The sequence below is a fragment of the Homo sapiens genome, chromosome 3 (assembly GCF_000001405.40).
Source record: "Homo sapiens chromosome 3, GRCh38.p14 Primary Assembly".
Lineage (NCBI taxonomy): Eukaryota > Metazoa > Chordata > Mammalia > Primates > Hominidae > Homo > Homo sapiens.
In genome coordinates, this window is record NC_000003.12 from 171,056,255 (window position 1) to 171,071,707 (window position 15,453).

The following is a 15,453-nucleotide window of genomic DNA, read 5'->3' on the forward strand; positions in this document are numbered from 1 at the left end:
TGGAATATGTTTTAACACCATCATATCAGGCAAGAAGTGGCTTGGACCCAGAGTGGATTGTGGATATATTCTGAAACTAGGGAAAACAGGATTAAAAAAGAAATGGATTCGATGTGGTATGTGAAAGTGAAAAATAAAGGATAACGAGATTTTCTGGTGTGAAGGAATAGAGCTGCCATTTACTGGCACAGGGAGGATTGCAATGGGAGTTCAGTAGTACCCCCTTATCTGAGGGGGAGTTTGAAGACCCACTGTGGATGCCAGAAACTGTGGATAATACTGAACCCTATACATACTATTTTTTTTCCTATCTATACATACTTCTGATAAAGTTTAATGTATAAATTAGGCACAGTACTCTTGCACTTTGGGGCCATTAAGTAAAATAAGGGTTACTTGAACACACGCACTGTGATACCATGACAGTCTATCTGATAACCAAGATGGCTACAAAGTGACTAAGGGGAAGGTGATGTTTACAGCATCGATACGCTGGACAAAGGGATGATTCATGTCCTGAGTGGGGTGTAGCAGGATGGAGCAAGACTGCATTACACTATTCATAACGGTGCACAATTTAAAACTTAGGAATTATTTCTGGAATTTTCAATTTAATATTTTTAGACTGCAGATAATCGCAGGTAACTAAAACCAAGGAAAATGAAACCATGAATAAGAGGAATACTGTGTATTGATTGGTGAACATGTCAAGTTTGAGATGCCAATGACACATCCAAATGAAGGTGCTTCATAGGAAATTAGTTAAATTGTATGCCAGTTTTATTTGGCATTCAGGGAAGAGGTTGGGTCTGGAGATTAAAATGTGGGTGTTGTAAGTGTATAGTTTTTAAAGCCCCAGGACTGGGAGAGATCACTTAGAGGGGGATGCCTAGGACTGGGGCACTCCAAGAAGTCAGCCAAGGAGATTGAGAAGCAGTGGCCAGGAAGGTGAGAGAACATGAGAAAGATGCCCCAGAACTGAGAAAGCATTTCAAGAAGGAAGTAATTATTAACTATGTCAAAGACTGCAGATAACTCAAGCAGCATGAAGCCAGAGACCTAACCATTGCATTTGAAAGCATGGAGGTCGCTGGTGTCCTTAGCAAGAGCTGCTGTGGTAGAGATGAAAGCCTGATTTGAGTTGGTTCAAAAGACCAAGGGAGGAGAGAAATTTAGGACAGTAAGTATACACAGTTCCCCCTAGAGAGTTTTTCTGTGAAGAGAAACAGATAAATAAGATGGTAGTTACGTTACCGAAACACTAGGTTTGGTCTAGGTCCTGCTGCTTGCCACACAGAAAGCCAATCACTGAGATGACAAGTATTGCCAAGAAAGTAGGCTTTGGTTTGGTCGGGTGCTGCGGCCAAGGAGATGGGAGCTTAGTCTCAAATCCATCTCCCTGACTGACCAAAACTAGGCATTTATATAGCAGGGAAGAAATGTAACAATGTGTAAGAAAACAGGAACTAAGGAGGGGCAAGAAGGCATCTGGTGCTATGATCTGTTGAGTTCCAGTTCTTTGATACTTTTTTGAGAGGCCTGAAGGAAAACAAATACAAGTTTCAAGCTTTAACAGCAAAAGGGTCAGTTTCTATGTTTATCCAAAAACAACTGTCTATGGGACTATTGGGCCGTTTCAGTTAGACAGGGTAATGGGGCCAAGGAGGGTGTTGAAGACCGGAGATACTGCAGCATACAGAACACAGCGAGATACACTGCAGAATACAATTAAACTCAAAATACAGTGAAATAGAATAGGGGATGCAGAAGAGAGGATTCGGTTTCTGGGGCAATGATCTTTATTTGGTGAGGTTGAATGGGATTTACCTAGAGCAAATAAGAATTGTCTGCTATCACTTAAGGAGCTGATGTAGTAATTAGCAATGATAAGTTTCACTGGTCAAGATCAGGGAACCAAGAAGCCAGGGTATTTGTAGGACTGTCTTAAGTGGATATTGAAATAATCAAGAATGATGACAGGGTGGTGGTAAAGAGAGCAACAGTGAGCCAAAACCTAAAATTCTTGAGCAATGAGAAGGAGTAAAAGAGGGTAATGTAGGGACTTGGGAGGCTGATGTCAACAGCTTCAAAACAATGAGTGTTCAGGAGGAGGAAAGGAGAATAGTTTGGAAGTGGCAATGAGGAACAAGGAGGCATCCTACGATTAATGTTTTATTATTCATATTTTGACAAAGATAGCATATTATATTCCAGGACATGGTAGTTACCATGTGGGGAAACCTATCAAAGCATTTTTAATGACTGCTTAGAATAACTGTAGAAAGTACTTTCTCAATGATTTTTGTATGCAAGAAAAAAAATACCTGAAAGTAACCAAAAGTTTCAGACTGGAAAATATGCCAGGAAGATTTTCTTCTCTCATTCTCAGGTGAGGTTATAATCCAGTTTTAGCAAATGTTTGACAATTTAAAATACTTTTGAAAACTGGAGATTTAAAAAATGTAAACAATTGTAGGCACAGCAAAATCGTAGTTTTCCCTTCTGATATTATACATTTGGCATCTCTCTACAGTTATATTAACATAAATAAGGCAGCTAAAACGTTCAAAAATAGTTTTACAACATTCAATTTTAAAATTTCATTCAAGCTGTAATCTTTTGTTTCCTGCTGCCACCTAACATTTGAAGTTTTGATTCAGGGTAATGTCCAAGGTTTCTTAAACATACCATAATAAGTATTACTATTCCTTAACATTTATCCCAGGGGAAGAGATAAGGGAAAGGGGTAGCTGGGCATGATATTTACAGTGTACAAATAATGATCCATTGCCAGAAATGAAAACTCACCTTTCCACCAGCATTTGCTCAGCCTCAATAGTGCAATGCAACTTGGTGCTGATAAAAATAAACCATTAAAACCAAACCCTATCATGCAAGGAGTGAGTTTGAAGATATGTACACAAACTCAAAAATCTGTAAACTTTAGGACATTTTTATTTTTAACTGTATTTTCTACTTTTCATCCAAACATTTGTCATCATGGACTCAGAAGAATCCAAGATTTTGATCTAGATTTAAAATAACTCAAACATTACCCAGGGATTTTTGTTTAAAAATGCTTTTATGGGGATTTTTATTTTGGTATATTCTGGCACTTCCTGGAATGGCAGGTCTAGAAGAATAAAGTCCAAAGCACAGGGTTATGATCTCACACTGTTTAATGCTAAGCAAACTGTTGAATATTCTAGTTATCAATGGAAGAATTCCCAGAATAATGGTGTAGAAATAAAAACAACCTAGAAAATGTTTGGTAGGAATATACAAATTGTCAGTTTTGAACTTGCAAATTCTCAAGAGGTTTTCTTCTTTGCTGGGACTCCTGAAAAGTGATCAATTTTACACCCAATTTATTTAAGATCCATGAAAGGACAGCTTACTTTAGGGTTCCTGATATATAGTGACCAAGGAGATATAGTGGCATTTATGAGAAATATTAGCAGGTAAATTAAATCAAATTTAGACTTTTGGATTTTAGATTTATGTTACAACTATGTAGTCTCAGGGGAGGTCAGTTTTTGGTTGGTTGGTTATGTTTTGCTTGATTTGGTTAGATTTAAATTTTGAAGAATGAACTAAAAGGTAACTAACAAGTTAGAGACTGTTGAAATGATCAGAACATGGTACCAGTGGTGATTCTGGAATATAAAGAGCATAGTAGCATCATTCAGAATTGTTATCAGCATGCTGTGGATTTTCTCATGTTTTCCTGCAGTAGGTTAAAATTAAAAGTTTTATCAATAACTATTTTTTTTCTTAAAAATAATGTAGCACATCTTACATCTTAAAGCAATCAGCACAAATGCAAGTGATGCCTGTTCAAGCAGACTTTCAAAGACAGCACACACTGTTAACACAAAGAGCTCTTCCACGTTTCAAGAATACAGTGACGGGAACTGGTACACATAGTAGTAGGGAAAGCATTTTTTTAAAAGCTTCGTGGAATGTGAGACTTTAGCCCCTTCCTTTCCTGGCAGTGGATAAAACCAAAATGGTTCTGGCTGGAATTTCACATCTTTCTAATAATCTACTGGACAGGAGGGACCAGAGACACCAATTACCAATGAGTCACAAGAACAGACAAAAATTGTTAGTAGGTTTTGACAACCAGGAACTAAGGTGTTTTTAAAAAACATGTACTTGATGCAAAGTATATTAGGAGTGCACCCTAGAAAACAATGTCAAAGTGTTAGAAAAATGGAGCCCCTGTCCAGGTGACCTTGTGAGATTTCACCCATAACTTAATATACCCTGTTTAATAAAAATAATAGTTCTAGGTCTTCTTGAAGGATTGTTTAGAAGTCTCCAAGAAAAATAATGAGATCTATCTAAAATAGAGCTGTTCAATTTTATGTGGAACTTAGTGAAGGCTGTCTTCATTTGCATTGTGTGTTATGACAGTGGTCTGGCTGGAACTGGCAGGGGGAAGAGCCTCATTATTTGAAGGAACTTCACTGGTCATCCATTCCTACCACCACTGGATGCAGGAATCCATGCTACAGTATCTTTGACTGGCACCCAGGAATGATGGTCACCTGCCAGACCCCAGACCCAGACTATGGTGTGGGCAGGCTCAGTAGATTTTACTGGATGATTATTAATTTAGAGCAGTAAGAACTGGCAGATCTAGTGAAACTTACTCTGAGGGGAGGGCTCAGTTTCTCCAGTTTCTCTTTGTAGGAAAATAAAAATAAAATGAGCCAATTTCTAGAGACAAAATCACCTATAAAAAGATCAGAACTGAAGATTTTTTTTGTTGAGATGCTATAAAAATGGATGAAAAGCAACCGTTCCTCCCCTACCCCCAAAAAGAATTAAGGCAATTCAGAAAGTTTGGATGAGCCACAAGGACACCATTCTGACGTATTCTGCATGTTCTAGGCCTCCTTATGTCAGGGCTGGGGTCTGTCTTGCTGGAGGAAAATTTATTTTTGAAGATAAAAGCTTCAGTGAATTCTTTAAATATCTGTCTTTTAAAGAGCACAGATTTCTGGGGGGCCCATTTAAATTTGGATTTGCCTTGTACTCAGTGTAAAATATTAGTACAAAAATATAAAAGGCATGGCTTGATGTTTAACGTGTGTTTTATTGTTGTTGGCACCAGAAAAGCTCATGTTCTATGTTATGTCACTGTACATACTGTAAACAAGACTGCATTAATATTGTTTTCTTATGATTTGTTTCAATGACTCTAGATTTTAAAAAATACATTCACAAACTACCTTATGTTTAAACACAATGATTCCCTTTTATTTCTTAACTGTACCCAAAATCCCACAATAAAAAAATCATTTAAAGCTGTGTGTTTCAAACTTATCACTTAGAAATAAAAACAAAACAAAACATAAAAACAAAGATCAGTTTGCAACATAATTTAAAGAAGCTTCTGGTTTAAAATACCACAGCAGCAATATAAAGAGCTGGTGGCAATCACATTCGGGAGTGAAATCGAAATCAATATATTTTGTCCACATCAGCATCCAATTACAGTAGTTGTTAAATTCAATCCAAAAAGTTATTGCTGAATTTGTGGCATGGAATTTGAGAAGATAGTATTGTTCAGCAGCACAACCACAGCAGTAAAAATGAGAACAGGAGGATTTCATTGCTTTTGAGAGCTAAAGGGACCATGAGGAGGATATCTTGCTGATTGCCTGAAGATAATCCTCAGTTACATTCCTGCATATTACCTGCTTTAAATAAATGCAAATGACAACCACCTTTTCAGGAGGGGCATAATAATGTAATCCAGAAACTAGAATGTTTCCCCTTCTCTTCCCCATCTTGCCCAAACCACTAGATTGAAATGGCTCCATTTTCCTAATGTGTATTTCGTTCTCATTAATAGTACATCAGCTGCTTGTGTATTTAGGCAAAGTCAGTAAGATCGTAGTTTTTTTTGTTGTTGTTGTTCCATTTACAGTAATTATTTTCTCCAGAAACAAGCCACATTAGTTTTTGTCATTGGATTCCCCCCACTTCCAATTTTTTAAGAAGAAAAATTTGGTCAACTACTGTTTCGTTTTAAAAATGTTAAATGCACCTGAGATTGCCGGTTGAGCTCTCTATATGTCTCCTGGAGATAACACTGCTGTGATGAACAGTGAAACAAAAACAAACAAAACGAGGTAGGTTAAAACAGGAAGCGCAACACAGATATTGTTTGCAACACCTCGATACCACAGGCGGCCATGCTTGTAGCTTTGGAAAAAAAAAATCCCAGTCGCATAAAAGTTCAAATCATTTGAGTAAGAGTTTATAAGGACACAAGTCAACCTGAACTAAATACATACATACTTCTGCACAAATGTTGTTTACCGTATGTTGGGTAATTTGGAGGAAGGTAAAGTGATTAGGGTCTCAAAATTTTGTCCAAAGCCTTGCTTTCAAGTTCTCTAAAATTGGAGCCAATGATGCCTCTTGTATCTGAGGCAGGCTTAGGAGTCTAGTCCCTTCTCTCACCCACACAGGGAGAACACAGGCAGCTCAGAAACATTTATTATTAATTTTTTCAGTCACAGTTTTCATCTTGAGAAAGTGGCACCCTCGGGAGAGCGCTGGGAATGTTCAGAGCCTGAATATCATCCACTCTCCAAGTCCCAGAAAGAACTCAACAAAGTCTCAGTCCTAATGAAGCCCAAACCAAGTGACCTCTTAGCTGGGAGGCTTTGTGCATTTTAAAAAAGACTATGTAAGCTTGTTTCCCAGAAGCTCTTTCTGTCTGACCCCATCTGTCATCCCATCTTTTTCCCTGATCTGTTGCATAATAGCTGAGGGAAAGTTGTGTTAGAGTGTCCCTCCATCGCTAGGCCAGCTCAACTCAATGGCGTTAGTATCCTGTTCAACACACTCCATTCTGTAAAGGGCCATATAAAAATGTGGCCTGTCAGATTCACAAAAGTGGTAGTTGATTTTATTAGACTAGTAGTTTTAAGGCTAGTAGTTTAGCCATTTAAAATCTATTTCCCAAAAGAGGGGAAAACTAGTATTTTTCTTCTCTTTTTAAAAATTCATTAGCCAGTTGCTATCAAAAAGCAACCTTTTGGGTTGGTGAAGGCAAGAGAGTTCTTAAATTACTCCACTATGTAGTTATGGCCTTCAGCCTAAGGAGATAAGGTACATTTATTGTGCTGTCTCTCATCATTGGAAATTTTACAACATACCATATACTTAAAACTAGTAGGCAGACAGAATTTAAAAGACTCATTTTCGCAGTATGCATTCTTTCCCCATTCTTGCAGAGTAAAGGGGTAAAGAAAAAAGGTAAAAACCTGAAAACCCACCATAACACAGCTTAATCGTTAAGAGCACACAATATTTGTTTCTATCCCTAATTCCGAAGGGCACATGGTCCATCTTTGTCCACAGACAAGGCAGCATTCTTGGGGATCTCCTGGAAATTCCTGCCACCTTTTTCTCTCCTTCTCAACCAGGCTGCAACATTGAAAGATGGACTGTACTGGGAGGGGCGGAGGGAGAGGAAAAAGGGAAAGCGATATGTTCAACCAAGCCTTCTGATTCTGCCTCTAGACTGGCATAAGTCCACATGAGTTATGTTCTTTTAAATTAGAAATAACGCCATGAAGATAAGTGCCAAGTGCTCTTCTGTTACCAGTTCATCATGGAATTTCTGTTGAGGGTCATGAAAAACACTTGGCTACTTCCTCCAGATCGCACGGATGCAAAAAATACCTGTTTGAAATTAAAAAGAAGTTAGTTCAACTGCATGGTCTTTTCCCCTCTTTTCTTCAACCGTCCATCCATTTTCTCTCACATGTCCTATCCTTGCCATGTGTCAGGTCTTAAGACTCAATGGCTTGTGTTTATAAAGTCCCTTTGGATATCGTGCATCCTATGTAAAAACTCCTGCCTTTATTCCTAGGTTGTTATTATTCCTTATTGTGGTATTGGTCTCCAGAGATGCTGAAGGGGCTATATCTTCATTTGTAACATCTCTTTGGGTGTTCACTTTTTAAAAGGGAGTTTCATGCTAGGATAACGTGCTGGATTTCTGGTCTAGGACCCAACAGGTTCTTTGTTAATTTCTAGAAAGGCACAGAAGCTTCCCTTCTCTCACCCTTAAATGACAAGAAAGTAGACTTCAGGATGGAAGGGAATCCCTTCAAATTCTCAAAGTCAAGGGGGAGTTTTAGGCCTACTGACTATCATACAGTTTCAGATTTCAGTTTTTTAAATTTAAGATAAAAACATTAAATAGTGTGGTCAGATAGGGCAAGGTATTTAATGCCTACTCATTTTGGCATTTCAAGAGTTAACGCATGGTTTCTCTGCTGATGGTGGCATATCCCAGGGCAAATGAGATCATAGCATTAATGAGGAGAACCACAGTCCATTAGGTCTGAGTCTGTTAAGTCATTTTATCAAACAACTGACAAACGTGAGAAAAATTTGGGTTACTGCTTGCTTGAGCTGAATGTTTAATGTTAAAGAACCACTGCCCCAGGAAAGTAATATTTTGGGCTATGGCCTAGCCCTTCAGTCAGTCAATACCTAACTTTTGTTAGGTAGTTGCTTTTGTCACTAGTCTAAAGTCTCTGCTACTTCATTTCTACAGCTTCTTCAGAAGAATGCTAACAACAACTTCTTAGGGAGGTCTCTGGAAATGCTTGACATTCACCTAATGCTGCATATGAAAGTAATGCTACTCTTAGGGTCAATGAATCAAAACGGAGAAGGACAGAGAGGGCCTATGGAAAACCACAATGAAGAAAAGAAAGGGCTGCTCTTCCCTCCAAGTTGTGTGCCCCTGGCTGTAAACCTTGGGTTGCAGACAACTGGTGTGGCCCCAGCCTACTCCTAAGGGTGTGGCATGGCTTGGAACAGCCCTGCTGGGGTAGGTTTTCAATCGGAATGTGGGTATCCATACCCAGATCACTCCTGGTTTTTTGATTCTTAGAGACTGGGTGGGAGCTGGAGTTTTACTAGGTTATGTTTGTTTTCTGGGAAATCTAAATGGCTGGAACCATCTTTGCCACCTGCAGCTACTGTCCACCCAGACCACATCAGGTCAGAGTAGTGGGCCAGGGTTGAATATAGTTTAGGCCCACATCACCAGGTTTGGACTAAGACCAACCTGACCTTTGGGGAACTGGGGTGGACAAAGGGATATACAAAAATTCAACCCATCATACTGTTTTTCTATAGGCGTTTATGTCTGTGGCTTTGGGGACAGCATTTCTATGTTGGCCACAGCCACAAAGGATGAATTCACAAATGCAGTATGGCTTAGCTACTAAAACCTCGGGGTTACTCTACAGGGAGGGTAAGGGAGAAGCAGTACTGCTGCAGAATACCCCTCTGAGGTCACTGATCATGCCAGACGGACACAGCCAATTTCACTGGAAAACAGTTCACCTATGACATTTCAGAAGAAACATGGCTGGAATGACACAAGACATGGCACTAGTTGAGTTTGTGATTGTGCATTCCTTAAGGAATGGGTGACATTTTTAAAAAGCTTATATTTCTAAACGTCAAATGTTTTGGATTTAAAGGTGAATATAAGGTGATTGGTTAGGTCTTGAAAGTGACTTTGTGAAAAGTCTAAAAGTGGAAGTATAAAGTTGACCCACTGTGAGATGATTAATGATGGGCCAACTGCTCTAAGTGCTTAGGAGAATTTGGGGTGTCTGCTGAGTCATCAAAAGGCCTTTAGGCCACAAAGGTTTCTAAGAGGTTTACAAGAAATTTCTAAATGTTTTTATGTAGTTTTTGACATGTGAATAATATATTGAGTGCTCACATGGATCAAACCAAATAATGCCATTTCAAGATAATATTGATTGTTTAACACAGATGTGATTCAAATCAGTATAAAGGAAAATGAAGGTTTCACAGGTACCTGGTGGTCTCTTAAAATGCAAACACTAATGCAAATGTTGAAACGGATTTACCTTATCATTTCTTTCACATAGAAACTTTAACCTTTGAGCTCGCTTATGCATAAATACTCCATCCAAATGTCCTGTTTCCACTGACCGGATCTCAATAGCTTTCTCGCCCCAGCCCATTATCTGATTGGAATGAATGTAGGCTGTCAAAAGGAATTTCCAAAACTGCATTAAAAACATTAGATGGGCAATAACTCACAGCATCTGTTCACATCTTAACCACAAAAATGACAAACGACTTGAGATAAATGGACAAAGCAAGTCTTACAAGAGTTATTCACAGATTTTTTTTTTTTTTTTTTTGTGGAATCAAATGGTTGTTTCACATTTCTTGATTTTCGTTTCATTTGGGGGGTGTAACTGCTGAAGGAGATAAGGAATGGTTAACCTACCCACAGACGTGGGCATTTCTCCCCATTGGAGCACCACATCCTTAGTTATCCGGCCATAGGTGTTTACATACACCCCCTCATCCTCATAGCAAACAAGCATTTCCATTCCATCTGTTTTAGGCAAGATGACAATAGCATGAGGAGTGATATTGCCCTGAATCTAGAAGACAAAGAAAAGCCAAGCATTATTCTTTTAAAAAATAAAACACCTTGACTATTCATCTCTAACAACTGCAAAAAAGAGGTTTTTGTTTATTTTCATTGTCACCCTAAAGACTGAAATTTGCTTTAATTTAACCACTGACTTGTAAAATACCCTGGTAAATCAAACTTAGTCACTAGATTAAAAATTCAATTTACCTGTTCCTAAAAAGAGCATGTAAATCTATGGCACACCTACTATGTGCCAGTCATGGGGCCCTTTACATATATAATTTCTAGTACCTACAATAGCTCCCCAAGGTAGATAGCTTTGTTTACAGATGAGGAAACTGCATCTCAGAAGGGCTTTGTGTCTTAACCAAAGTTGTGCTAGTATTTGTTGGTAGAGTTGGGATTTGTGTATATCTTGCTGACGTTGAAATTAATGTGTTTTCTATTAGCACAACCACTTCCAAAAGAAGATGAGGAGAATGTAAGCCAGCTGAATCTAATGGAGATAGCTTAAGTGGGGTCAAAATGAACTACCAAAATAATCTGTGAAAAAAAAATATATATATAGGATTGTTTATCCGGGTGTCTAAATGCCAGAATAATTCATGGCTTGGTTAGAAAAAATATTTAGAATGACCACTCATTAAAAAAAATCATTATTGCCGCACACAGTGGCTCATGCCTGTAATCCCAGCACTTTGGGAGGCCGAGGCGGGCGGATCACGACGTCAGGAGATCGAGACCATCCTGGCTAACACGATGAAACCCCGTCTCTACTAAAAATACAAAAAATTAGCCGGGCATGATGGTGGGCACCTGTAGTCCCAGCTACTCGGGAGGCTGAGGCAGGAGAATGGTGTGAACCCAGGAGAGGCGGAGCTTGCAGTGAGCCGAGATCACGCCACTGTACTCCAGCTTGGGTGACAGAGCGAGACTCCGTATCCAAAAAAAAAAAAAAAAAAATCACTATTGAAATAAGTGTATATTAATTTGTTCTAGGAAAGGAAATGTGATGTTGTTGTGATCCCCTAGTTGAGAATGCCATGGCAGCCCAACATGTGCTTGACAGATTGGACTAAGAGAGTTGAGGATTATCATAGTTACACCTTAGCTGCCTCACCAGGAATGTGAGCTGTGAGTCCTTGTGTTCACCCACATCCACATGAGTTAAAAGTGGTAATAATGCAGCAATGAATGGCAGTCGTGTGTGTGTATGTAATATACTGAAACAACTTCTTTTAGTTATTGCGTTTCATTAGAATAAAGTCTTAAAACTCTCAAAATACCAGTCAGCGGTAGCTTCAAACATTCCTGATAAATAGTTTCTCCTGTGTGTTAGTCTTGGGATTACACACAGGACACACACTTTACACTACACTTAATCCTAATAAGTGAATCCATGTGCAGCATTTCCCTTTAACAGTTATGTTTCAAGCAATATGTCAGGATAGTAATATGAATATTTTAGGGCTAATAAGAAGATCTACAATTTGCAGGGCCCTGTACCAACTGCTTTAGATCCATTACCTCATTTAATACTAATGATAATCCTATGGGATAAGTCTTTTTATCCATATTTTACAGATGCGAAAGCTGAGGATTGGAGAGGCTGCCTACTGTGTCCATTACTGCAAAGCTAATACATGCTAGAGCCACTGTGTCTGACTCCAGTGTACCACACTGCCCTCAAGCTGAAGAGAGGAACTAAAAATAGCAAAAAAAGAATTTTCTCCAATAAATTAGTACCTGACCATTGGCTTTCTCTAACATAAAATGAACGAATTTCCCTTCAAAAACTGAATGTGGAAACTTGTCTACCGAATATAATTCATGCCCTTGAAAGAAATATGTCATATTCATTTTAATCTAAAGTCCAAAGAGACAACATGTAAATGCCAAATGATTTCTATTATGTATTCCCCAATTTTAGGAAGTCATAAAAATTAGTTAAATTTATATATTTTAGTTATTAAAAGCAGTATACTTAATGAAGAACGAAAGTCCATTTGCTGGTTAGTAAAGTGTGCATGACTTCTACTAAAACTATGCAAAACAAATCTCTTTCTACATGCAGGCTGTTGTACAGAGAGCCCTTGAAAGTCTACTTCTGAGTACTTACATGAGATGGTATGTAGATATCATAAGAGTTTCCTGAATCAACATCAATTACATGGAAACCAGTGTGTGAACCAAAAATAACCTTTAATCTTTGACCTTCTTCTACCGTGAGATCAACTAGCAGAGGCTTGTGCTGGAGATCTGCAAAAGACTTTAAAAATCACCCCATTAGTATCCGCATCACTCAAAGAGGCATCTTAATTTTTTTCCTTTAGCCACTGTCTAGAGGAAGTTAACTTCTAACTTTATTAAAGTGAAAAACTAGAAAATTTCTCTTTCAGTTTTAGGTCTGTTGATATTCTGGCCCTAGGAGGAAGGGTCTAGCATCCATTTGTGCCCCTTTCTCTACCCTTTGTCCTTCGGGGCAGTGAAGTTTAAGTTGGTGCACAGGTGTAAATTTTGATAGTGGTAATGTATATTAAAAACCTGGTGCCTGGGTATTGCTGTTTTTTCCTGTTTATTTCTGGCCTTTGTCCTCTGAAGAAGGCCCAGTCACCTCTCTGGCCCCCCTCTTTCCCATGTGGCAACCAGGCCCATCCACAGCAACTACCCTTTCAGAGACAGCCTGGGAGGGACAGCCAAGGCCGGCTGTTTTCTCAGCCTGTTTAGTATTAATGGGCATGCTCTGGTTTGGATTTTTCTTCAGTGAATGAGTAGGCATAAGATTGGCACTTTCTCTTAATGTTGGAATCTGAGACTTGGGTTTGGGTGGTAGAGAAAGAGGTGGGAGTGGAACATCACAAGATTGATGGCTTGCATTGACTATTTGGGTTTAACTAGAAAGCAAAAAGAGAGATCTTGCCAAGTTTGTCAAAGTTCTCTGTGTTTGAATCCAGAGCCCAAGCCCCAACTAACTGTCAAGTGTTCCTCTGCCATTTTCCTTTGCTATTTTTTAACCACGCTCTACCTTTGGGCCTTGAGATCTGGGAGAGCATTTGTGAAACTACAATTGCCTTAACTATAATGCCACTGCTACCTCTCAGACCCTTCTCTTCTCATCTTTTGCTAACACCATTCTGACAGCATGGGAAGCTCTAGCGTCCTGTCCTTGTCCTATGGGAAGGCTTGGCCTCTTGCCAGTTCCACTCTTTCCTGTTCAAGTCTTTGCCTTTGCTCTTCCCTCTTTCTGGGCTGGATAGGGTCTGTCAGAAAGAACATTTTGCACTCTCTCATGTGTCTCTGGGTCATAAAATAATGGCAATAACTTCAGAGCAAGAATGGGAATGGGATGTTGATTGAAAAGCTTTTGTGGAGATAGATTTTGGCAGAACAGGAGTACCACTTTGGCTTTTAGGAGTTATCCCTTGTTATTAGTAACCTAATGCATTCCAATTTTTTTCCATAAAAGTGAGGTCATGGAGGGGAGCCCATTTCCATTAATGAATCTATTTTCTTGAGCACATCAGAAGCCATCTGCCCTAAGGGAACAAGATAGAAGTGATTCAGCTCTGAAGTGGGCCTACATGGTGTTCCAAGGGCAGTTTTGCCCTTCATGAGAATGTGGCAGAAAATAATAAGGAGCCAAATGGAGATAACAGTCATAAAGGTGGGGAGAAAAAGTGAGAGCCAATGAGACATAAAGAAGTAGACAGACATAAGCTGAGAGAGAGAGAGACAGAGAGAGATCAGAGAGAGAGAGTGAGAGAAAACAGAAGATAAGTTCACTTGGGCTATGGATAGGTTATGCGGCTCTGAACACATCTGGGTGCCTGTAAGTACTGGTCCTCCTGGTATTCGGGTGTCAGCTTCATGAGCTGGGGTCAACAGGACTAGCATATCCCCATCCCACTCCTGGCAAATCTCATGAGTGACCAATCCAACCATGGTGGGTACAGACTTAGACAAGGTAAAAAAATGAAAAGGCAATCAAAATAGAAGAATGCAGAGAAACTAGGTCATTTCTGTAAGTTAGCACTGGGGACATATAAGCATCACCTGAGTTTTAGGGACTTCATTCAGAAAGATTTATGAGGATTAAAAGAGACTCAGTTTAACTCTGAGATTCAGTGCTGCCATTTGTCTGCCTTTTTCAAACAAAATATCAGGGAATACCCTGGTTTAGGTGGCTTTATAACAAATGTCATTGCATAAGATCATAATCAATGCTATGCCTACTAACCATTCTAAATGCCTCTTGAGGATGATGATTCATAGATCTCAAGGAGGAGGGCATACCCAAATTTTAATCTAATTTTATAGCATTTACAAATATTCAGTCTTTACTTTTGAAACAATAAACCCTAGAGTACCTACACTTTTAAAACAGGTTTATTATCTATATGAAAATTGGTATTGGTCTATATGGACTATTTTATTAATGGGTAGAAACGGAAAATTTTTAAAAAGCACATTTTAGATAATCACATCCCTGCTTACCTTAAATGCCATGAATTTATGATACGGTTTAGGAGCCCAAGCATATATTTCCACAGCATTCTTTAAGGCAATCACCAAAAATTTGATCCTTTCATATTTAACTGTAATAGAAAAATTATGAGTGAAAAAGTACATCAATTTACTCAAGTTCTTTGTATTAATATTAATGAATGTATAAGCAACAATATGTAAATTTAAATATTGATGTTGGGTGTCAGCTTCATGAAGGTGATATTCCTGGTGTGGGATTTTTTCATAGATACTGATTTAGCTTCCCTTAGCGAACTTTGGTTGGCAGAATACTTATGGCTTTTGCTTTATATTGAAGACTTTTCATCATCCAGAGATATAACTGCTTAGGACTGTCTTTAACACTAGGTCTTGATGTTGATATTCATTGTAATAAGAATGTGCATAATTTCCTTCATGTTAGCTTGCCTGGCTTTTACGTTCACCCATATTTAAGTAGCTGAGAGCAGATATGG

The 15,453-nt window shown here is 38.8% G+C and overlaps 1 protein-coding gene across 8 annotated transcripts in view, besides 2 other annotated features; it reads right to left on the minus strand.

The window, feature by feature from the left end:
- The window catches only part of TNIK (TRAF2 and NCK interacting kinase), a 401,995-nt gene continuing 388,701 nt past the window's right edge, over positions 2,160–15,453 (minus strand). For all 8 annotated transcript variants that reach the window (NM_001161566.3, NM_001161565.3, NM_001161562.3 and 5 more), the window contains 5 exons: positions 14,969–15,069; positions 12,594–12,743; positions 10,322–10,481; positions 9,933–10,072; positions 2,160–7,710 (listed from right to left, as the gene is read on the minus strand). In NM_001161566.3, the coding sequence (NP_001155038.1) occupies positions 7,627–7,710; positions 9,933–10,072; positions 10,322–10,481; positions 12,594–12,743; positions 14,969–15,069 (635 nt within the window). In that variant the 3' untranslated portion in view covers positions 2,160–7,626. The remainder of the gene's footprint in view (positions 7,711–9,932; positions 10,073–10,321; positions 10,482–12,593; positions 12,744–14,968; positions 15,070–15,453) is intronic.
- Positions 5,416–5,994: an enhancer, noted in NCBI's record as "OCT4-NANOG hESC enhancer chr3:170779459-170780037 (GRCh37/hg19 assembly coordinates)". NCBI's record gives its function as "activates a minimal SCP1, AML or CMV promoter by ChIP-STARR-seq in naive H9 embryonic stem cells {active_cell/tissue: H9 hESC(naive)}" and the evidence as "EXISTENCE:reporter gene assay evidence [ECO:0000049][PMID:30033119]".
- Positions 12,492–12,692: a silencer, noted in NCBI's record as "peak4922 fragment used in MPRA reporter construct". NCBI's record gives its function as "represses an SCP1 promoter by STARR-seq MPRAs in K562 erythroleukemia cells {active_cell/tissue: K562}" and the evidence as "EXISTENCE:reporter gene assay evidence [ECO:0000049][PMID:32103011]".